Here is a 24065-nt window from a genome sequence, read left to right as displayed (position 1 = left end):
TTGGTATTTAACTTCTAATAGTGTGGGGGGCACTTAAAATGACATATAACATTTTAGAAATGCTTTGCAAGAGGCTCACAATGCACCCTGGAATTCTTTAGGAGTCACATACTATGTGGCCCCAAGGTTAAACTATTTGCTGGAAAGTTTAAGTCCTAAACAAAAGCATTAGTTGCAGCCATTCCAGAATAAAACATCTATTAGGCAAAGAGAAAGAAATGTGGGTAAATTAAGCTTAAGAGCATAGATTCTGCATTCACACTTCTTAAAGCTAACATTGTTATGCTACTTTCTGACAGTGATTTTTTTGTAACTTGTAAATGTTGAGATGATTACTTAACTTCTCAAAGGCTCATTGGTGAAGTAAGGATAAGCAGTGTCTCACAGCTCTGTGGGAGTGTTGAATGAGATACTGAGTGAGTATCTCTAAAATCTCAGCTGAGGACTAAATGAGATACTGTGTACCAAGGAATTAACTTAGATCCTGGACACATTAAATAGTCAAGTATTTTCGTAACAGAATTTTATAGCTGGAAGGGATCTTTTAGCTACAAAAGATAATTCGGATCTCAGAGTAGGCTTAAGATATATTAGCTAGATATAGCAGCATCAACCAAGCAATACATTGAAAAAAGAAACAATTTAAAAATTCCCCACTAGCCCTCATGTTTTTCCGCAAGTTTATATATGTAGAATATGTAGAACCAAACCATCTTTCCTTCTAAAAGTACAAAGGTACAAGATAAGTAAGACAAATGGCTTCTGAAAAATAGGCATTACGTGTATATCAAGTTACATGATTACACATTTTTGTAACGAAAAATGATCATTTCTTCCAAGTGATATAAAACCCATAGGGTTTAAATCAATCCCAGCTTCAGAACAAGCAGGCAGCCTGGGTTGTGCACTATACATTAACAGCCACCTGCATCGTGCTAGCTATACCAGTCAGGTATCACAAGCATCAAACAGATTGCCAAAAAACATGCCAATTAAAGTTGCACAATCCCAGGCTTCAGAACTTTCTAAGTGTGTGCAGTTCATTTCCAGTTTACTGGAAGTTGATCCATTTTCTCTTATATAGTGTGGTACTCACTCAAACATTTAGCTTCCTCATGCCCAGAGTATATAAACCTCCAGCACACTTTATGAGCTAATGGTCTGCACAGTGTCTTGATTCACTGAGTCCAAGGGAGGAATGATGTAACACATTTTCCAACAGAAGATATGCTCACTGAGGCAGTGCTCAAATAAACTCCTGGCAAAGCCAACCAAAATTCTAAGGACCATGAAAAACAACATTCAAAGACTTCTTTTTTCTGCCAGTTTATAGAATTACTAAGTTCCGGCAAGGTGGATATGGAGCCTGCTTTCCCAGTGCCCATCCCTCTGCCAGGCGCAATGCAGCCCCTGCAAATGTTTAATTTCAAGATGGATAGTTTATTAAGACTCCAACCTACCATCGCTGCTTCCCCTGAGGACTACATCTGGTGAAGGCGTCTGCCGAGAGCGAGAGCCAAAGGAATCCAGGCTGTCGAAGGAATCATCTCTGCCGTGGCGAGGAGGAGAGAGGGAGTCGCTGCGCTCGGAATCCCAGCAGTCGATGTAGCCACTGTCTCGGATACTGCGTTTAGGACTTTCAATGTCATCAGTGTCCTGTCAAAAAAGAAAATGAAAGGGTTACAGACATAATTCTAGCCTACACTATCAGGAAGATGGGTCTCCAGTGGTCTCCAAAAAAACCCCTGCATATCACATCAGAATGGAAAGGTTGTGGAAACCAGTTACAGGATCAATCATCTTTGAAAAGTCACTGCTCTGTTCCTGGAGCCTCCTTTGCTGCAACTTTCCCAATCAGAAAATCATGCACAACGTTTTTTTTAAAAAAATCCCCAAATAACTCATATTCCCTAGGTTTAAAAAAAAAAGAGTAGAGAAAGAATTAGAAGAAAGGATCACAAAGTTTGGATTCACAACAGTACAATGATAGTTCAAAACAAAAACGAAAAACCAAAACCTTAACCTTGACTTGTCTTTCGGAATCCATAACTGCATGTCTGTCCTGGGAATGAGCCCCTGGTTTAGCTGTGCAACTTTTGCTCCTGTTTATACTATCTGGCAAATACAGGCAACATTTGTCTTTGCTGCAGAATCAGTTCTGTAAAATCCTGGAGCAGCACGCGTTCATCTCCTGCTACCTTGAAGGGAAATTCCTGCTCTGAAAGGGAGCTGTCTTTCTGAGGCAAAAGTTAAAAAAAAAAAAAAAAAAAGAAAGGCAATGAAAAATATGCAAAACGCTTTTCCTGATGCCTCAGAAGAATCCAGGCATGCTCTCGCTCTCAGCCAGCTCTTGGCGCTGGGGGAGCTGAAAGCACTTGTGGCTGACCCACATGTTCAGAGCAGGGAGAACAATGGCTGTCTTTGACAGCCTGTGATTATAAATTCTTTCCAGCACAAGCAGCACATACTAAAACACTGAAACTCCAGCAGAAGAAAGGTCAGTCAAAGCCATCCTCACCCTCGTATTATAATAAAAGCCTTGTTCCCGCCAGTGTCTTAGCATTAATTACAATAGTCCAGGCTGACTAAAACAAAAATAACTCTGGTCACTCAAAGATAAACCTCAATTTAATATCATCCAGACTGTCGCTTAAAATTAGGACTGTGGATAACACTGGCAGAGAGGCATGTTCTCATCCGCAAAGACTGGAATGCCACACTGCAGATTCCCTGGGATGCTCGCGAAAGTCCCCTCTGCATTCCCAATAGAAAGGAAAAATAAATATTCTTCATGTTAGCAGTTTTGGAAACTGGTCTAAACTGTCTAGGATGCCCACGGGAGCCAATGCCTTTGCAGGAAGTGCCTTTGCTGGCTGCTTCTATCAATTATATCCTGAGCCTCTGACATACTCCGCAGCAGGAGGCCCTTTGCGGGGGACAGAGTGGCTGTAATTTACAAGACACACACAGCTTTGCATCAAGAGAAGGGAGTGGGCAAGAGGACAAGGGCAGGACGGAGAGGAGCACCCTGCAGCCTCCAGACAGAGGACTGATTAATGCCCTGAAGAACAGGTTGTCAAATGGCCTGGGTGAGTAGAGCCGGCATAACCCTCCAGAGGAAGGCAGAAATTCCAGTTATGGAAATTAAGGTAGCTTACTCTTAGGTCAAAAGTTAACCAGGACTTGAACAAAAGCCAGGCCTGACTAACTGAAAAAGGAAGAACTCATGACTCACTGAAAATTATAGACCCAAATTGGATATGGTTTCATATTTAATTTCTTTGGAAATGCAAGTAATTATCTTGGATTATTTACCTACTGAGAATAGGCCAAATGGCTAAAAAACAAAGGTCACTTTTATTGAACACTTATTATGTGTCTGCAGCTACACTTGATGTTTTTTGCATGTTATGTTATTTAATCCTCACAACCACTCATCCTAAAACATGGTTAGCATTATCCCTATTTTACAGAAGAGAAAAATAAGAATCAGAGAGGTTAAGTAACTTGACTGAGGTCACACAGTTAGTGGCAAAGCTGTGATTCTAACACAGGACTCTGTCTCCAAATCCCAAACGGTATAGCTGAAAATATTTGATCATCTTTGGTACAGTTACAGTTCCACCATCAGCATCTTCTCTACTACTAGACACTTACTGCCTCCTTATTCTGTAGATGATGCTAACCTGGATTATGATCCTCAGCTAAATGCTATTATGACTAGATCACAAAACTATAAATATAGTTATGTGTTGCTGAATGACAGGGATATGTCATTAGGTGATTTCATTGTTGTGTAAACATCACAGTGTGTACTCACACAAACCTAGATGGCCAATCCTACTACACACCTAGACTATATGTACAGCTCATTGTTCCTATGCTGCAAAGCTGTACAGCATGTGACTGTACTGAATACTGTAGGTAACTGCAACACAATGGTATTTGTGCATCTACACATACCTAAACATAGAAAACATACAGTAAAATGTGCTACAGATTGAGTCTCCATTATCCAAATGCTTGGGACCAAAAGCTTTCAGGATTTGACTTTTTTGGATTTGGAAATATCTGCATTACACTTACCAGTTCAGCATCATCCCAAAACTGAAAATCCAAAATCCAAAATGTTCCAGTGAGCACTTCCTTTCAGAGTTACGTCTTTGCTCAAAAGTTTTGGATTTTGGAGCATTTCGGATTTCAGATTTTCAGATTAGGGATATTCAACTTGAATTTTAATTTTCTAGGACCATTGTGTATATGCTGTCTACTGTTGACTGAAATGTTATATGAAGCATGATTAGTGCAAGAGAGAAGGAGTTTAGGGTAATGGTTAAGAGAATGGTCTCCGAATACCGACTGGCTGGGTTTAACTATTGGCTCCACCCCTTGCCAGCTGTGACCTCAGGCAAGTTATTTCATTTCTCCAGACCTCAGTTTTCTCATCTGTAAAATGGGACTAATAATAACGCCTGTCTCACAGAGTTGCTGGGAGGGTTAAATGTGTTCATATATGGAAAGTATTCAGAAAAATGCCTGTTACAGAACAAGTACTCTAAAAGTGTCAGCTATAGTTATAATTACTACAATTTATTCTCTCAAATGGGTAAATTTCAATATATACAAATCATAAAACATTTATAAATGTAGCTAAGGACACAACTTTCTACACATCCTGACACTCCTCTATCTCTCTCTTCATTTATATCCCATGTCTAGATGTCTTGAGCCTAATTTACCATCAGGGAAGGCAGACACTCAGGGAGGCGGACCGCTGGTCACATCTGGAAATGACACAGCTACAAGTTCCTTGGTGCAGCCATTACACAACTGGACTTTCAAGAAAATAATATCAGAAAGGCTCCCCACAGGCCCAAATGTCTTCCCCACCCTCACCCTACAAACCACAGGAGAAGAAAGGAGAAAGTCAACATGCCTCTTGGAGCGTTAGTTGCTTTCTCACAGATAGTTATGGGAAGGAAAAACAGAGAGGCCGTTATATTCACGGCTGTGTAGAAAGCCAAGAATCAAACCTTGGACCAAGTGCAAGAGCTGGGAGCTGAATGGCATGGCCAGTTTGAACAGTGAAAACCAGGCCACCCAGGGCTGTGCTTGGCCAAGCTCGTCCCGAGGAAGCTCAGGGTGAAGTGACAGGCTGGCTCTTCAGCCAGAAATAAAAATGAGGATATCAGCTGGATGGACAATTCTATTGGTTCCCATCAAGTCACCATATCTCATTTTCTGGTCACTTAAAGTGAAGCTTCTGATGGCGAGCAGAAGATATAAACCAACAGAGACTAGCACATCTACATTCTCCTTTCTTGGGCTCTAATTAACATTGTCTCTGCTTTTCATCTAGAATCTCAGTCCCTTGTGCTAACTGCTACTGAGTTACTCTAGTTAAAGTATGTTAATGAAGGGGTGAGAACTACTAGCTTCATGAAATTTTGGGATTATTTTACTCATCTTCCTCCTATCCCCCTTTCTCAGACATAACAAGAACCAGCTAGGACTGGTGGATGACTTAACAGTTTCTGAGAAACTCCAGATGCTTCTCTTTTACTGCTCAACATTTTCTGCTCCCTTTGTGATTTGTAAGGTGGCTCACCCTGATCTAGAGGGCTTTAGGGTTCTACTTTTCCAGCCTGCTCAGCCACTCTCCACCCACCACCCTCTGGTTGTGGAAGCTGTTCATTCCACAAATATCTACTGAGCATCTTCTGTGTGACAGGCACTGTTCTAGTTCACAACATTCCAGAAAAATCAACAAATACCCTGTCTTCATGGGTCTTAAATTCCAGTAAAGAAGACAAAAAATACACAGAAAAACACAAATGAATACAAAATTGGATGATAAGTATCATGAAAAAAAAAAAAAACATAAGGTGGGTTGAGGGACTAGAAATTGAGATGGTTGCTCTTTTAGGCAGAGATCTTGCATCTGCTTGCCCACCATGCTCCCTCCCCTTTTCCCTTTCTTCCTGTAATACCCCTCACCCCCTGAAACAGGAGTAGCCTGGGCCAGTCACGGTATCACTTGCCCCTGATCACAGTGACTGCTTCAGGAATAAGGTCCACATGGGGCCAGGGTACATTACTAGGAATTTTTTACACCTGGGGCCAGGGGACAGCATTCCCTTGCTTTTCTGGGCAAGGAGCTAGAAGCAAGTAATCCTGGGGATGATACTGGCCACGCTCCCTGTTATAAGGGAATGTTTGCCTATAGGAAGAAATAATGAGTTTAAGGAGAGATAAGAGATGAGAGAAAGATCCTGAAATCTCCAGGGCCACCCTCGTCCCCATGGGTGTCCCTTCAATCTTAATATTCTTGTAGTAAATCCTCTTTGTTCAGCTGAAGTGCCACTTCCTTTGGAAGGACTTTTCTGACATATCCAGTCTCAGTGAAAGGCCACTGTCACTGTGATGTTAGAGATCCTTTAAAAAAAAATACAGCAGTAGCAGCAATCTATGAATACCTACTACATGCCAGACTTTATGCCAAGGGCTCTACCTGGGTCACCTTTACTATAGAACTTAACAAGTTGCACCCTAGTGAATCATTTTTATGCACATTTCACCCACTAGAAAAATGAATATAAAAATTTGTGGATAATCTCCTTTGTGAAAGAAAAAAAACTAATTTCAAATTTATTTCAGCCTGCATATGTGCAGAAGAGATTACAGTTGTCCCTCAATATCTGCTCTCCTAACAAAAATGCCTACAGTTTTTAGCTGAAATAAAGTCTACTTTCCCCAAGTCTTTGCTTGCAGCTAGATATGGATGCATGACCAAGTTCAAGTCTGTAAGATGTAGCTATGTGTGTAGTGTGTAATTTCCCAGAGGTGTGTTTAAAGGGAGAGCATGGAATCTTCTCCCCGCCATTCCTCCCTTTTCTTGGCTGAATGTGGACATGATGGCTAAAGCCTGAACAGCCATCTTGGATCAGCAGGTGAACAGCCATGGGTTGAGGTTGTTGGTACAAAAAGACAAAGAAGCTTGGGCCTTCTGTTGGTGAAAAGACATGGAACCCCACATCAGCCCTGGACTGCTCATGTCCACGTCTCATTTATGTGAATTAGAAATAAAATTGTTGTCTTATTTTATCTGTTATTTTGAGGCTTTTGTGTTTCCCAGCTGAACCCGATCCTAACTGACAAAATGAGATTATATATATCACATATAAAACTAGTATTTCCAGGTGCTCAGATAGTCCAGTGAAGTTCAAGTCATTTTCTCTCTAGATGGAGATATGGCAGTATCATGGCTGGCCATTTTTGCTAAGAGTCATGTATCCAGGGATACTACTTACTCCACCATGTCCTGTGATGTTACCTACATTCAACAAAAAGGGTAACAGCTGTTAACAACAGGTCATTTTACAGCAGTTGAAGAAACTAACTGTAGAAAGAGAAGCTAGGAGAGTTGAAGAAACCAATAGCTGCTCAGATTCTACAGGAGCTGGACTAGTAGTAAGAAATGTCAATCATGAGAATAAATCAGATTCCAACAGAATCTAGCAGGGGAACTGTGAGACAAAGCTTCATGACCCATCTATTATTATTCAAGTCCAAATTTAATATAAAAACAATAAACATTTAGACATCTCAAATCCAGACTGGATGTTAGATGAGAAATTAAAGGGCAAATAAGAGGTGAGACTGAGAAGCAATGAGTTGTGCTTCATTGTGTGTCTGTGTTTATTTAATTTTTAAAGGAATTCAGCTTAAAGTACCTTGTGTATGTGCGTTATGACCAATATGAAAGCTTTGGCCATTTATAAATACATGAGCCAGACTGGCCTTAGCCAAATGTGAAGAACTATCAGGACCATTAGCTTTAATTTAAGGAAAGGAAAATAAATGTTTAGAAAATTGGAACCAATTCTTGCTTTCAGTATTAAAAGAAAAATTGCAAGGAACTGAATGTTTCTAGTTCATTTATTTTGCATACTAGAGAAATGAGGAAGAGTAAGGCCTCAATTATTTGTCCTCTAATGTGGACTTTATCCAAAATGCCTGGAGGGGCCGGGTGCGGTGGCTCACACTTGCAATCTCAGCACTTTGGGAGGCCAAGGTGGGTGGATCACCTGAGGTCAGGAGTTCAAGACCAGCCTGGCCAACACGGTGAAACCCTGTCTCCACTAAAAATACAAAAATTAGCCAGGCTTAGTGGTGGCTGCCTATAATCCCAGCTACTCGGGAGACTGAGGCAGGAGAATCACTTGAATCTGGGAGGCGGACGTTGCAGTCAGCTGAGATTGCGCCACTGCACTCCAGCCTGGGCGACACAGCAAGAATCCATCTCAAAAAAATAAAATAATTAAAAAAGTACATGGAGGTCCATTATAAATAAGCCTTACCTGTACACTAAGGCGGGTTGGGAGGGCCTCTCCTGGGTAACACTATGTACTAGCCATTTGTATGAGTTGTATATTGCTGGACCTTCAGATGAAACATTCAGGCAAGTAGTACACATGAAACATTCAACTGTTTCCTTGACAAATCCCTACCTTAGGTCAGTCTTTTCTATACTCAAAGAAACAAATGAAGCTTTTAACAATGTATGAAATGTTTTCCAAATTCCTATGTCATTCAAAAACAGTGGCTATAACATGCACATGTTAGAGGAGAATGCATTTAATGTATCCCGCCTTGTCCAGAGCGTATGCCAAGGTAAGAGCTTGGTTCACGTTACCTCACCCACATCAAGGCCCCAGTGGGTAAGCAAAATGCCCTTTAGCACAAAAGTGCAGAGCGAGTCTTCATTTTTGCATAATACTGCATTGTTTAATTCAAGCATTATTCCCCCAAGAAAACAAGCACTGAGCATCTTGGCATACAAAGGCATATACTGATAGATTGAATTTGCTTTTTTGGAATTAAAAAGTTGGATGGAGCTCAGAACTCCTGTTCTCTGAAGGGTATGAAAGTGCAGGTAGGTGTGACATGCATGAGGCAAAGATGTCATTGGTAAGACAAGTGATCGTTTCCTTGAGTGCATATCTTTGGCTCATACCATTCCACAACCCAGTACTCTAGTAATCTTAAAAACAAGCAAATGTGTAGCTTTCCCACCTTGTCTAACGCTTATGGGATAAAGAAGAAAAGCCAAGTTACCTTTCGCATCTGAGCCAACAATCCTTCAAACTCCTTCAGGTTTAGTGTCGTTCCGCTGTAGGATGTGCAGCTGTTTGCTGCTTTTCCCAGCCAGTAAATGGTAACTAATACCTGTGGAACAAAACGCACAAGAGCAGATTTTTCCCTCAAGAATGACGTTTAAACTAAGGAGTCAATAATGTACCACTAACAGGAAGGCAGGAAGGAAAGAGCTGATTTACATCGATTTTAAAAAACCACCACCCATGAGGTATCCATTAAATGTAAAATCACTTTAATAAGAACCCAATGCCATGTCAGGCAACACAAACACGGTTGAGTAGTTAAAACGACTCCAGCGTTAGGGAAAGTTAGGTAGTGAGGAAATGATCTCTAAGACAGCAAGAAGGAAAAATGAATCTACCCACATTATCTTTTATGTAGTGAAGGTTTCACAATTTTTCAAAAATGCTTTGGAATCTTTATCCAGAGAAGCAATGAAAGAGACTGTCAATTCCTTTTGAGAAAGGTGCTTTTGAAGGCCCATAATTTCTACTTGTGGGCACAGAGGTTCCGCTAAGGCCAATGGCAGAAAAAAAATAAAATCCCAAACAAGTGATAAAGGTTAATTAGTGGTTCCCAGCACAGGATCAACATAATATATCTAATTAAAGTCAAAAGAAAGCAGTGTCGTGAAGAATATGATCTGCAGATACCTAGCTTTGGGGTATAGTTAGATTCCCATTAATCTGAGATGGGAAATTTTGAGCCTTGACAAGGCTTGCTACCAATTAAACAACCTTGGATATTTAAGAATGTCTATGAGTATTCAATGGTCTGAAGCTACGGTCCCAAGTTAATTTTGTTCTGTATTTCCAAAGAAATTGTCCACAAAAGCAAATCCTCTTTACATTCACTTCCCATGAAACCCAGCAGAGTCAGCTGAAGATGAGCTCCTTCACACTGAATTACAAGTATCTGAGGCCCATGTAGAAGCTAAGATGAGTATTTTCTTTTCACACTCTGTCTTATCGCTTCAGCCAGTCTGGGAAGTACTTATTGTGCCTCCTTCTACTTGGTAGGCCAGAAAATGTTTCGGACAACATGGTATAGTTACATGAGTCCAGCTGGCGACAGACCCAAAATATGGTTATGTGCACTGATGCTAAGAGGTGATTCTGTTTTCTACCTCTGTGGGAAAATTTTACTTCATGAATCCCTCGAAACTTCCAGAACATCCTTTTGAACTGATTGCTTACAAATAAATTTCCAGAGATTCAAACGTCAGGACATTAACTAGGACCATAAAATAACTAATGTGTGCTGAGAGTATGAGGCTATCTTAAAAGGTATAACGGGGGAATGGAAAATAGACTGTTGTGTTTTAGGTTAAAGGTTTTCTGATTTGTTTAAAATTTTATGATGAAAAATGGCGTATACCTCTAGTTTTATAAAGGAGGAAAAAGAAGATAAGAATGAAAATGCCAATCAAATATAATAGCACCTAGGGAAACTTTTTTAAAAAGAGGCTTCAGCCAATTTTAAAATTTTAGATGCAGAATGTGACTTCTTTCATTCCTCAATCTAAACTGAAAATAAAACAGCACTAACATACTTGCCTTTTGAAAATAAGATCTACAAAAAGTTCATTTGGGCAAGTACTAATAAAAGTGCAAAAGATTTAAAGGAGAACAAAATACATAGAGTATAGGCCCATGGCAGTCAACACTATTCATATTGTGCAGATCTTACCCTACAACAATTTGCCAAACTCCTTAATTTAATAATCCCATCTGTGCCTACAAATGGAAAGGGGCTAATGTTAGTATTGAGCCTGATCATTTTGTGTTTAAGAAACTGAATCATAAACAGAGTACAAGCTTTCACTTGTTTATTTCTGGATTGAGCACTTATCTAAATAAAGAGAACCACCACCACCCCAGCCCAACACATACACAATTTACTATTTTTATTTCTATCATGGTCATTAACTATTCTATGAAATACACATATACTTTTTTCTAAGGACTTTTTCCAGCAAGGCATATGAGAAACACTGAATTAGCTAAATTTTACACTTGAACCATCAAAGATACAAGTTTGGAAGTTAAAACACTTACATTTTTCAGCTTCCTACTATAATCAAGGCTCCTAGTCAAGGAAAGGGAAAAGAAAATATTGTCAGAATAGCAGATTCTAAATTGTGACCTTTCCTTAAATGCCACTAAGATGTACTTGAAGCTAACATATATAATGAAATCAGAAGAATGTATTATTTTTTAAGGCTTAAGTTTTGTGATTTCGGGCACTGAATAAAGTTAATTAGGAAACAAAATGTAGAAGGACAAGGTGGGATTAAAGTTCCACAGTACGCTATAAAAAGACGATGCTTTATAATTTCTGGAAATAGAAAAAGTCCGATCAGAACTGGGACTATTCATAGTTGTGTTCTCAAAGATTAACCACTGAAGATTCTGCCTTGATTATAGACCACCGTCAAACTGAAATCCGACTGCACTTCCAAAATCTTCATGCAAGTATTTTTAACACAGGTCTAAAACCTTATTTAATTAGACAGACCTGAAAATATGTGTACAAGAAGGAATCCTATCCAAATATTTGTTCTTTTCTGCTCTGGACATAAATTAGCACTGGGAATAAGCCATAAGCAGGAAAATATGCCTGTTATGTTCAAATATACACACATGCATGCTCAAATATGCACCCATGTTTACTCTCTAACTATAAACAAAAAAGCTACTTCGAAATATTCATACAATGAAATAAGACTTCCTGCAAAATTATTTCAAAGTTTTTTTAACACGTCAACAAATACACACTAGAAAAAACAAACTGCACTTCTTTTTTCCACAGTAACTTCGGTGAGGGGGAAGGGAGTGTAAGACTATCATATAAACCAGTCAAGAATTCCTGCAAGTATTTAGACCCTGATTACTTCATTGCAGCATACACTGACCTAAAGTACATATTAATGAATAAGTGAACCATTTTAAGTCCATTGAAATTTGAAGAAATAGAAAACAAGTAGCATACCATGGAAATAAACCCATCAACAAGGACATAGATTGAAAGAAGCATTAGTCCAGTTTGGATTTGATTTAAAAAATGTTTCATGTTTCTGTTTTTAATAGGAAAAAAAATGGGATGTCCTTATCTGCTTGGATATCTGCTAGGGTTTGTTGTTGTTGTTGTTGTTTTGAGACTGAGCCTCACTCTGTCGCCCGGCTGGAGTGTAGTGGTGTGATCTTGTTTCACTGCAACCTACACCTCCTAGGTTCAAGCGATTCTCCTGCCTCAGCCTCCCGAATAGCTGGGACTACAGGCACGTGCCACCATGACCAGCTAATTTTTGTATTTTTAGTAGAAATGGGGTTTCACCATGTTGGTCTCCATCTCCTGACCTCGTGATCTGCCCGCCTTGGCCTCCCAATCTGCTAGGGTTTTTAATTTAAGAAAGAAACCAGATTTTTAAAAATCTATAAAAGATTTGAAACTTTTATGGAAAACAAATTAAGAATAGGGAACATAAAGCTTTTTCTGCAGTGATGATAAAAGTTCACTAAGACTGTAACCCAGTGCTAAAAATTATGCTTGGTACATAGTAGAAGCTCACAAAATATTTGTTGAATGACTCCCACCTATTATGTGGAAATACTTCCAAATTTTGACAGAGACACTCGGGAGCAATCCAGAGCCTGCGTACATTTCGTCCAGTTGCTTTGATTCCTTGGAATAATACTTGCTGTGTGCCTGTCTAGATTACACTTTCATTTCCCATCAAGGTTGTCTGGCATCCATTACAGGTAGAGTTCACTAAATTACACATGCAGTAATCACTTGCAGGCTTTTCCTCTTTTTTTTTTTTTTTTTTTTTTTTTTTGGTCTACTCAAGTTTCTTCTAAAAGAAAACACACACACACACACACACACACCACACAAGAAAAACTGCCTATCATGAAAGCTAAATGAAAGAGTATTTTCTGAAACAAAACTTCCAGAAAACCATCCAAAGCTCTTCTGTGGGATCTATCCCTATACCTTACTGCTTCCGCTAGTAATTGGTGGCAATGGGGTGCTCCTCTCTGTGTCTACAGATGTCCTGCTCAGCTCTTAGAGGGACAACAGAGAAATATAGCAGTTCCACTTTAACTACCTTAGTTTACAAAATCTGCATATGTTACAAGCATTCCCTGCACAGTGCCAAATTAAACCAGCATCACTTATCAAAAATACACGAAATCCGATAGTTTATTCCATACTCTACTCCTTACTAAAACCAGAAACAACTTTCTACGTACTGTAAGTGAATTTATAGCATCATTTTAAGATAAAATTCTTTATGTTCTTTGAAATACTCATACAGTAAAATGTTTTTTCTCTATAATGATTCTGAGTTCAACATCCTACCCTGCTTGTGGACTGCCACGCCCACCACACATGTCCTTACACATTATCCTTCAACCACACCAGTTACTTTTCTTTCTTTTAAACATGAAGCTTGTGGTTCCTCTTCCCCTGACTTTGTACCTGCTCTTTCTCTGTCCTGAATGCCCCACAGATCTTCCCACAGCCTGTTCTTCCTTCCTATTTGTGTCTCAGCCCCCAGTTAGTGCTCAGCTGAAATGCCAGCACTTCAGAGAAGCCACCCTCAACCACCTCCGGACTGGCCACTGTCTTTTGCTTATCACTCCATTTTATTTTCTTCTCAGCACTTATCACTTCCTGCAATGATCTTCTTTGTTTACTTCTTTGCTTCTCATTTCTTGACACTGGATTGTAAACTCCACATGAGCAGAAGACCTTGGCTATCTGAGTTCATTCTATTTCTCTAGTGATGAAAAGTATCTAACACACAGAAGCTGCTCAGCAAACATTTGTTGAATGAATGAATGAAAAATGCCAGGGTCATGGGGGAATGTGATGGCAAAGTATTGCCTAAAGAAAATAAGAGTACCCAAGTGAAGGAAACATTAAAAAGAAAATGAGGAGAAGAAATACAAAAGGAGAGATAGATGGAAAGACGGGATTAAAAAGGGAGGGAAGGCAGAAGGAAGAAAAGGAGACAGAAAAAAAGACGGAAAAATCAACAGGAAAACAAAAAGATGGTACAGTAACTAAGAAGGGACTGTATCCACGTGTCACTTGCCTACGTGACATTTTCCCCTTTAGATTTCTTTCCACACCTTGATTTAAATCTCTTTTTTTTTACAAGTCAGTTGTTCCATCTTCCCATATCTGCACTGAGCAAGCTTGACCCAGAATCATACCAGATGGAATATTCCATCCAGTTTCAATTTTTAGATGAATACATGGGGCCTGCTGAAGAAGGGAGCTTAACCAGGGCTTCAGATCTAGTGAGCAGCAGACCTAGGGCTAGATCCTCATTTTCCTGATGCCCAGTTTTTTGTAGATAAGCAATAAAGGTGATACGAGATTTGAATTTTTAAAACCAATCAGGCTCAGAATTCTGGTTTAGTAACATACTGATTTAAAGTGGCTCTAAAAAAAAATGAATGCAGCTGCAGACACTTTCAAAGTGACCTTTCCTTCACCCTCCAAGCAATGTGTGTGTGACTAATTATTACCTACGAAGCTGCACAGTTGCTATTGTTTCTGGTCACTTGCCACCCGGGTGAAACTATGAATGGGAGATGAGGCAGAACCTAAAACAATTTCCTAAAGTGAACAATGGTTTATAGAGGATAGATTTAAGTACAATAATAAATGGGGCATGTGATGACCAAGATGAGGTTTAGTGCGGTTTCCATATTCAAATATCCTGATTTTTATTCTGTTATTTTTTCGCTTAGTTAAAATTTTTCCAAGAGAAGTTTTAAAGAATGGCATATTGACAACAGAAAAGTACTTTTAGATAACAGATCACTACTAACTCTCCCATATTCCCAGTCATGAATCACAAAATCCAACATAAACCCCAAATTTTATTTTATCCAGTAGTTCTCATTTTTTTCCTATTTTTCCTCATCCTTTTTAAAAAATAAAAAATCAAGCAAATAGTATAAAATCAAATAGTACAAAAAATCAAGCAAATAGTATAAAATCAAATGTATAAAAATCAAGCAAATATAATATAAAAATCAAGCAAATAGTATAAAATCAAGCAAATTGTATAAAATTAACAGCTCTGAATTTTGGCTTCTCTCCCTTTTCTGTTCCTTCATGATAAAATGACTCCAAAAACAATCAAAAGAAGAAAAGTTACCTATTCACAGACCCTATCTATGTAACTATGTTTATTATTAAGGCATATCCATGTCAAACATTGTTTGGCTAAAGTGGAAAATGTTTTATATGAAATCAGTAGGATCTAAAGAACTTCTAAACTACAGGAAAGTTATCTCTGCCATCTCATACCCTGGTCACAAGCTATTTCTTTACACAAAGTACACTGCTGTCTCTTTTATTGTGACATTCTGCTCCAAGAATTATTTGGCCCAAACAGGGCTCATTAAGTAGATATAGTCAAAGTTCTTGATCCATCTTCAAAGAACTTGATCACTGACACATATGAGAAGACAGTTACACATGTAAATGAAGAAGCAAGTTCTCCATAATCTAATGCTTTCTTTGCATAACAGAGTTCAGATCTGTTTACCTTCCAAGAGCCTACTCAAATGTTCAATTGGTGCCAATAAAAGTTTTTTGTCTAACACACTGATTCTGTGCCTATTTCTTTCTTGCCTCTCTGTTAATCTTTACTTAACATTTTTCTCCTCTTCAAAATTCAAACTCTATATGCAAGAATTTTGCATTCAAAAAATGATGTTTGATCAGAATGAAAGCTATGCACAGAGGGAAAGTCAATGTGAGTTGTTTTGAAAGTTGATTTTTACCTTCACATTTTTATTTTATTAAGCATAACCAATTCTCTGTCTCTTAGAACTTACAACATCATCACAAAATTGCAAATCAAACTATAAAGGAGTTTCCCTTAAACATAAATCACGCTTTACTTACTTGACTGTTACTCTGTTGGATGTATCCTGGAGGTCACTCGGGTCAAAAAGTTGAGATTCTTTAAGGCCGAGCTCTTTACAACCTCTCAAGAATAAGATAATATTGTCCTAGAAGGAAAAAAAGAAATATAAGTCTATATTATCTTAGATTATCTTTATGAACCAGCCCCTCCCAAGTTGCTGTAGGGATACTGGTCACTAAGGCAGCTATGGTCAGGTCTAAATCATAGCTTGCATAACAAATCATACTTTGTTAGGAAATGCCAGATAAACAGACACTTCAAACCTCCAAACCCACAACCATGCCAGATTCATTTTTTCCCGTTAGCTTGACACATTTGTATAAAACTGCAAGTAAAATGCCATTAAAAAGGAAAACTTAGCATTGTTAGGGGGAACTGTACTCAAAAACAGGTATTCCTTATTGCTTCTTTGTCCATGTCTTGTTGCCTAGAATCTGGTTGAAATTGATTTCTTTTCTTTTCTTTCTTTTTTTTTTAAAAAGGTTTTTCATCTTTAGCAAGTTTTTCTTCTTAATTGATCTTCTAAAATATATTCTTTAGATGTATTTTACATCCTTTAGGGATTTTGACTAGTAATACCTCTTTGTGGATTATACACTGAGTTAAATGCAAGAAAAAAAATCTAGACAATCGAAATGAGAAAAAAGGACAGGGAAAGCTTTTAAAATACTAATGCAAAAGACTGTCAAGAAAGTGAAATTTTCTCTAGCAGATACAAATTTACTTTGAATTGGCAGGCACCAATGACAATTAAGGAGGGGTCTGTCTTCATCTATTTTAAGTCATTAAGTACAAACAAATGCTTCTGAAAGGGATTGCAAATTGTGGGTCATCCTTTTGGAACTCCAGGGTATTAGTCAAGAAGTTTACCAGCTACAAGTCTCTAACTGTTCTCTTCCTAAAAGACTTTTGAAGGTGCTAACTGACCCCATCAGTTAGTGAAAACTACAGGATAGGGAATGTCGGCTCCAGAAGCCAGACTGATGTGAATCCATCTGAATGCTGTGAGAAACATGCTACAAAAATCTGAAACGATGGTGGTGATTACAGAATCACGTATTCACCCACGTGCAATTCAACTTAGTGAACAGAGAATATTTCCAGTTACCCAGTTTGCAGTCAGGATTCTAAGATAAACCCCAAGAATCCTGCCCCCAATGTACACACCTCTTCTTGAGTGCAAGTGAAATCTGTGAATATGATGGGCTATAACTCTGTGATATGTCACTAGCAAGTTGACTTGGAGTTAATCAAAAGAAAGATTATCTGATTGGGCCTGACCTAATCAGGGAAACTCTTAGAAGGTGAGGTCAGAATTCATGCTGGCCATGAATTCTATAGCTGCAAGGAGATGAATTCTGTTAACAACCACATGAGCTTGGAAGGAGCTTGGAAGATGTTCAGATAGGACCTCAGCCCACACTAACACTTTAGTTTCAGTCCTGCAGGACCCTGAGCTAAAAATCCAGTTACACCATGTCCAGACTGCTGACATTCAGAAAATGAGAGATAACCATTGGTGTTAAAGACATTAGGTTGTATGCAGTAATAAAAAAATTAATACATCCAGGCTCAAAATAACAACAAGAACAATAGCAATAAGTTGCTAACCTTTCTATAGCCCTTATTATTCACCATGCATTATTCCAAGAACTTTACATATATTCACTCATTTAATTCCTGTACAACTTTATGAAAAATTTTGGCAGATGAGTGATCTAAGGCACAGAACAATTAAGCAAATTGTCCAAGATCACACAGCCCCCAAACGATGGAGGTGCAAAACAACATGTCTTATATGAGGAACTGAAGCATAAAATCTGAGGCCAGCACCAAAGGAAGATGAGGCTATGCAGGTAGAGGCTGATCATAGACGCCTCGAAGGCCATGGAAGACAAGTTGCAGAATGTCACAGGGGGGCTATATCTGAGAAGTGAAAACCCAGATCTATGGTGGAAGGAGATTGTTGCAGGTGGGGTTGGGGGGAGGTAGACGGTGTGAAGGAAGTACTAAAAAGGAAGAAGATGGGAGACAGGGAGAACAATGACGAGTTACTACAACTTTATTTTCCCCCAGTGAGGGTGGCTTCATCCCAGGATGTTTTCTTTCTGGGTAAAGCCTAGGTCTTTTTTCAGCAGGCAAGAGATGCCATTGTTCACAAGACCTCTTGGAGGCTGACAGTGAGCTAGCTGCTCAAAGTCTGAAGTCACCTACACCCTCACCAGTTTCTCCTTCGGTTACTTTCCACATTTTTAAATTATCAAATGTAAGAGTTCCCTCCCATCCCCTGAGTTTTGCAGTTTTCCACTTTCTTGGCCATATATGTTTCATTGATTGACACTGTCCTAGGTAGAAAAGAAAGGGAAAGAAAGCAAGGATTGAAAAAAGTGGTGATACAGAGTCCATTTTAAAGGACCCAGATTTTCTAGTTGTGCATTGATCATCCTGTCGCTGAATTTAAATATAACATCTTTCTTTCCAAAACACTTATTTTGTCCCAATATTTCAGTTACTTGAAATAAATCGTTTTCAATCCTTTTTTCTAGTTAACTTTGTTATCACACGGACATATCAGTTTATCACTGATTTTAGCTATGCAAACCATGCCAGTCTTACTTGCTTCCAGACTTGTCTTTACTCAGTACTCAGACTTCCAATTTGGGTCACATCATTTTCCAGAGACAGCAAAATTTTCTCCCTGGAATTTTGCTTTTCTTATTGCCAGTGGAAGAAGTACATGTGGATGTTCATTTGGTACGTTTACATGTAAATGATCGGTTACAAAAATGGTAGAAAAAGAAGGAATAAAAGTCACATACTTTACTATTACTGGAATATTTATGAGCACGTATGGAGATAAAAATTAGTACAATAAAGTATTGCTGAAAAGTGGAAAAATACTTTGTCAATATGAGAATCAAAGCTTGCTGGTGAACTTTTTTATTTTTTTTTTTTTGAGATGGAGTCTCACTCTGTCACCCAGGCTGGAGTGCAGTATGCAATCTCGGCTCACTTCAGCCTCCACCTCCTAGGTTCAAGAGATTCTACTGCCTCAGCCTCCTGAGTAGCTGGGACCACAGGCATGAGCCACCATGCCTGGCTAATTTCTGTATTTTTAGTAGAGATGAAGTTTCACTATGTTGGCCAGGCTGGTCTCGAGCTCAAGTGATCTGCCCACCTTGGCCCTGCAACGTGCTGGGATTACAGGCATGAGCCACCATGTCCAGTTGATGAATTCTTTTTTAAAAGGCTTTAAAAAATTTACTCATTATTCTTAAGAAAATAGGTTAAAGATTGGTGAAGGCTGTAGATATCAGACCATTATGGTGAATTATGTGGGGCACTTAATAATATGAACTAAACATTTATACCTTACACTCTTCAAGCATTTGCCATCTAGCTACCAGGTCTGTTCTGAGGATGTACATGGATTATTTCATTTATTTTCAAAACAGCCATACACAGCAGGTACTGTTATTGTCTCCATTTTCTAGAGGAGTAGTTGAGGCACAGAGAGGTTATATACCATACCAGTCACCCCGCTACTAAATCTGACTCCCAATTAACTTCACACAGTGGAAAAAATAAAATAAAGTTTCCCCAGATGTTAAAAATGCTAAGTCTGAAAAGTGGCAATTCCTTTTCCCGCCTCTCCAAATTTCCAGGTGCCTTATTCTGAATTCAGCCTTCCTGAAATTTCCATTTTAGTTCTCTTTCTTCTTGTCTTCTCTTTCTCTATGATGTTCTTCTTCCTCCTTCCCTCCCAACGGCAAACAAACACACATACATATGCACCCTCTTAACTTACTTGGCTCTGTGATTCTCAAATGCTCCACTGCTCTAGCCTTGAACAATCTTGAGGATACCACATTCAAAAACACGTGCACCACTCACTTACAATTCTACCATTCAGGAACAGTAAATAAACCCTTTACCCCATGAGGCAACTCCAAACCAACGAGTGACTAGTACAGATCCAGGTGAGTCTTCACTTGGGAGTGCAAGTATCCTCTGACTGGCCTTTAAGCTCTGAGTGCTTTCTGCCCAGAGGAAAGCAAAGGCTGAGTGTTGATGCTCTCTGGACATCATTTGGCACCACAATAAAAGACAAGACCTGTGACCAGCATGTAGTCCCCTAAGAGGTGCATGACTGTGACCCCCACAGATTCTCAACAAGGTGCTCCTCCTATGTGCATCCCAGACACACAGATCTGGGATGCACGCCTTTGAACACCATGCTGTGTTCAGCGTGCAGCCTGCAAACACAAAAGCTTTGTGCTGCCAGCCAGCCCAAACAATTTGGGCTAGAAGATTTAAATAACTGCAGGTCTGTTTCCAGCTTCTTGCTACAACCTAATGATGCTGGAGGGGAGCCAGGCCCTAGGCAGAAGAAAAGCCAGAAGGAAGAGCCACCCAGCCAAGAGCTAGCAAGGGCAGCCACTGGAGCAAGCGAGAAGGGCTGTGCCTTTAATTACATAAAATGCATTCTGTGAATTCTCATCTGCCTTGCTGTTCACACTGAGATTTTTCCACATTTACAATTTCCAGCAAAACCCAAAACTTAGTGTGTTAACTTTGGAAGCCAAACACTAAAAGTGTCTCAATCCCAAGGGAAAAGAAGTACAAGACACTGCTTTACTATAATGGCTATATATTTAGCTCTTACTATCGTGGAGCTAACAAACCCATACATCTTTGCAAGAAGTTTTTAAAGGACTCTTCAAAAAAGTCAATGTCATGTAAAACAAAAATTGGCAATCAAAGCCATCATGAACAAATGCAATGTATGATCTTTGATTAGACCCCAGATCCCAAAGGAAAAACTAAATAAGGGTGTAATAGTCTAATTTAAATATAAACTGCACATTGGATGATATTACTCAATGAATGTTAATTTTTTAGGTGTGATCATGATTTTGCATTTATATGAGAGACTGCCTTTATTTTTAAGCATCCACATGAATTATTTAGGGGTGAATTATCATAATGTCAGTAACATAACTTTCAAATGGTTCAAAAAAAGTATGCATGTATATATATGTTCACACGTGTGGGGGAAGGGAGAGAGAGAGAGGTTGCGAGTATGTCTGCCTGTCTGTGAAGACAGAGATAAAGCAAATAGTAAAATAGTAACAAGCAGTGAATCTAGATCAAGGGACAGTCAACTTTTTCTATAAAGGGTCAGATAGTAAATCTTTTAGGCCTTGTGGGCCATATGGTGGTCTCTGTTAAAATAATTCAACACTGTTGTTGTAACCAGATCATATGTAAACAAACGTGTGTCTGTATTCTAACAAACTTTATTTATGAAAGCAGGCATTGGGTGGATTTGGCCCATAGACCATAGCTGGATGACCCTGTATTCGCTTATTCACCATACCATTCTTTGAATTTTTCTGTATGTTTGAGATTTTTCCCAAAAAAGGTTGTGAGAAAAGGTTCTTGACTTTCTAAAAGATATATTCAACTAGGTAGGATTGTGACTTCATTGGTAAAAATCTATTCCACAAAATTCAAGGAAAAATGGTTGTCACCTCTGAGATGACCACTGCAAACTCATGGCGGTAAATCCTCAGGTGCTACTGATGGAAAGTTACCATTTCTGGCTAATTGGCAAGTACTGCATAACATGAGTCTCAGTTCAACAGAAAGGCATAACATAAAGTTCCTCAAAGAGTCTATTTTGTACTAGACAAATATTAATACATGAATTTATACCACTGTTTATGTAACTTCCATACATTAAACCCTCCTTGTTCATGGGCCAGTGGTTTCTCATTTCATTGATTTGTGGGCTTGCCCTGTGTATAAAAACATTTCCCAAGGGCTATGGGTAAGACCTGAGCTTGCTACCTTCCCAGGGCCTCTTACTCTAAAGACATCCTTGCAACTCACTCCCTTTCCTTTCACACTCCAAAGGCAAGGTGAGGGAATAGCCCAGGATGGTCTCTACCCCAGAGTGTAGCAAAGTTCCTGACATGTACAAGTGCTCACTAAATATTTAAATAAACTCAATTCAATGTGCTACGTACTCTTCTAGGTATCTGTAATGAATAAAACAGAATTCCTTAGTCTTCACAATCCATCAAATAACTGGAATTGTTCAACATACACATAAACAGAGTTCTGACATCAAATTAGAAAATAGAAGTAAGAGAATAACAAACATATCAAGGAACAGGGCACAAATAGCTTTTCTAGTTAGAATCCCAGCCTTGTCTGCTTCTTAGCTACGTGTCCTTGGGCATAGTTCCTAACCTTTCTGATCCTCAGATTTCTAACTCATAAGGTGGGGGATGCTATCGACCTGTGGGGATGTCAAAATTACAGAAAATATACATTAAGAACACAGCTCAGCGTCTGGCACCTTCTGGGCACTCATTGTCTGGGAGTTATTATTAAGACATTCTTGTTCACTCAGGTCAAGAAAGGACCATGGAAGATGCGATGATGAAGAACAGTTTATCCATTTATGAAAAACAGGCACACTGTGTAGGTATAGCCCTTGCCAGTTACATAGGAGATGGCAAAGAAAAAAAAAAGATAGTTGCTGCTATTGTTACTTAGTTGTTATTAACCACCAGCTTGACAGTTTTATACAAACAGCCTCAAATTTAGGGGCAGGCTACATACCAAAAGTTCATTTGGAGGGTAGCTGCTTATAAGCCATCATTTGTAATTAACCCACAGAAATAAATCCTTGCATGGTGGTTCTAAGTTCAGGCCAGAAAAGCTTATTTCATCCAAAGTACACATGAAGGAGAGTAGGAATTACATGATGGAATCTAAAAGCTGGACAGAACACTTCAGTGGGAAAACATATTCAGAGATGCCAGGTGCACTTGTCCTCTGACTACAGTTGGATCAAGGATCCCAGCAGTTACAGAAGAGGTTTCCTCAGCCCATGGCAGTGCTATCAGAGGGAGAAGGGGCAGGAGGAGGGGGCTTCATCCAGGCCCTTCTTCCTCTTTTCTTCAGAAGGCAAGCAAGAAGCTCCTTGCTACCTTTCTCTTTCTTCAGTTGTCATTTCCATCTGCAAAAAGGTTTCTCTCTTTCCTTTATCTCCTGCACAGAGCAAGCAGCTTTCTGGCTCTGGGGCAGACACCCTGCATTTGGTAGTTCTCTGTGGAAACCAGACAGGGAATGAGAAGCTCCCTTCTGTGCCCAACCTTCTTGGCGTTATTTCTTTTACCCCAATAGGGAGAGATCAACATGATCATGGATTTGCGTTCACAGAAAATGAAGGGAATGCTCATTTGGGTTTCAAATGAATCCAGACACCTTTACTGCCACATATTTAAAATGCAATATATACATATAAAGCATCCATATAATTCTCAGTTTCCACAAATGAAAAGACTAGGTGGAAAATATTAAAATGTAAACTAGAATTACCACTTTTGAAGTTCTCATTTTTATACATTTTCTATAACAAATATTTGCCCTAAAAATCTTAGTAAGGCCCAGGTGCAGTGGGTCACACTTGTACTGCCAGTGCTTTGAGAGGCTGAGGCAGGAGGACCCCTTGAGGCCAGAAGTTCAAGACCAGCCTGGGCAAGAGAGCAAGACTCTCTCTATAAAACGTTTTTTAAAAAATTAGCTGGCCATGGTGGAGCATGCCTGTAGTCCCAGCTACTCAGGAGGCTGGGGTGGGAGAATCACCTGAGCCCAGGAGGTAGAGGCTGCAGTGAGCTATGATCGCACCACTGTACTTCAGCCTGGGTAACAAAGCAAGACCTTGGCAAGCAAGCAAGCAAGCAAGAAAGAAAGAAAGAAAAAGAAAAAAGAGAATGAGAAAAGAAAGAAAGAAATTTTAATACGGACTAGCATACCTCAGAAAGGCTTTCAGATTTGCAAGTCTATCATAGAAGACCCAGATCTTGTTAGGAAACCCATAACCAACAATAATGTTACTTTTCTATTCTACCTATAAGACTTGTTTTTCTTT

General features: G+C 39.2%; 1 protein-coding gene across 54 annotated transcripts in view; it reads right to left on the bottom strand.

The window, feature by feature from the left end:
* Positions 1-24065, bottom strand: part of LIMCH1 (LIM and calponin homology domains 1) — a 340438-nt gene that overhangs the window by 84923 nt on the left and 231450 nt on the right. For 40 of the 54 annotated variants that reach the window (NM_001289124.2, XM_011513642.2, XM_011513644.2 and 37 more), the window contains 4 exons: positions 16096-16202; positions 11217-11247; positions 9118-9228; positions 1461-1656 (listed from right to left, as the gene is read on the bottom strand). In NM_001289124.2, the coding sequence (NP_001276053.1) occupies positions 1461-1656; positions 9118-9126 (205 nt within the window). In that variant the 5' untranslated portion in view covers positions 9127-9228; positions 11217-11247; positions 16096-16202. Of the gene's footprint in view, positions 1-1460; positions 1657-2023; positions 2221-9117; positions 9229-11216; positions 11248-16095; positions 16203-24065 lie in introns of those variants that run through there. The other 14 variants (XM_017007903.2, XM_047449842.1, NM_001330982.2 and 11 more) reach the window with 2 other exon arrangements.

The sequence above is a fragment of the Homo sapiens genome, chromosome 4 (assembly GCF_000001405.40).
Source record: "Homo sapiens chromosome 4, GRCh38.p14 Primary Assembly".
Taxonomy (NCBI): Eukaryota; Metazoa; Chordata; class Mammalia; order Primates; family Hominidae; genus Homo; species Homo sapiens.
The sequence above is the reverse complement of the archived record's forward strand: the minus strand, read 5'-3'. Positions and strand labels throughout refer to the sequence as shown.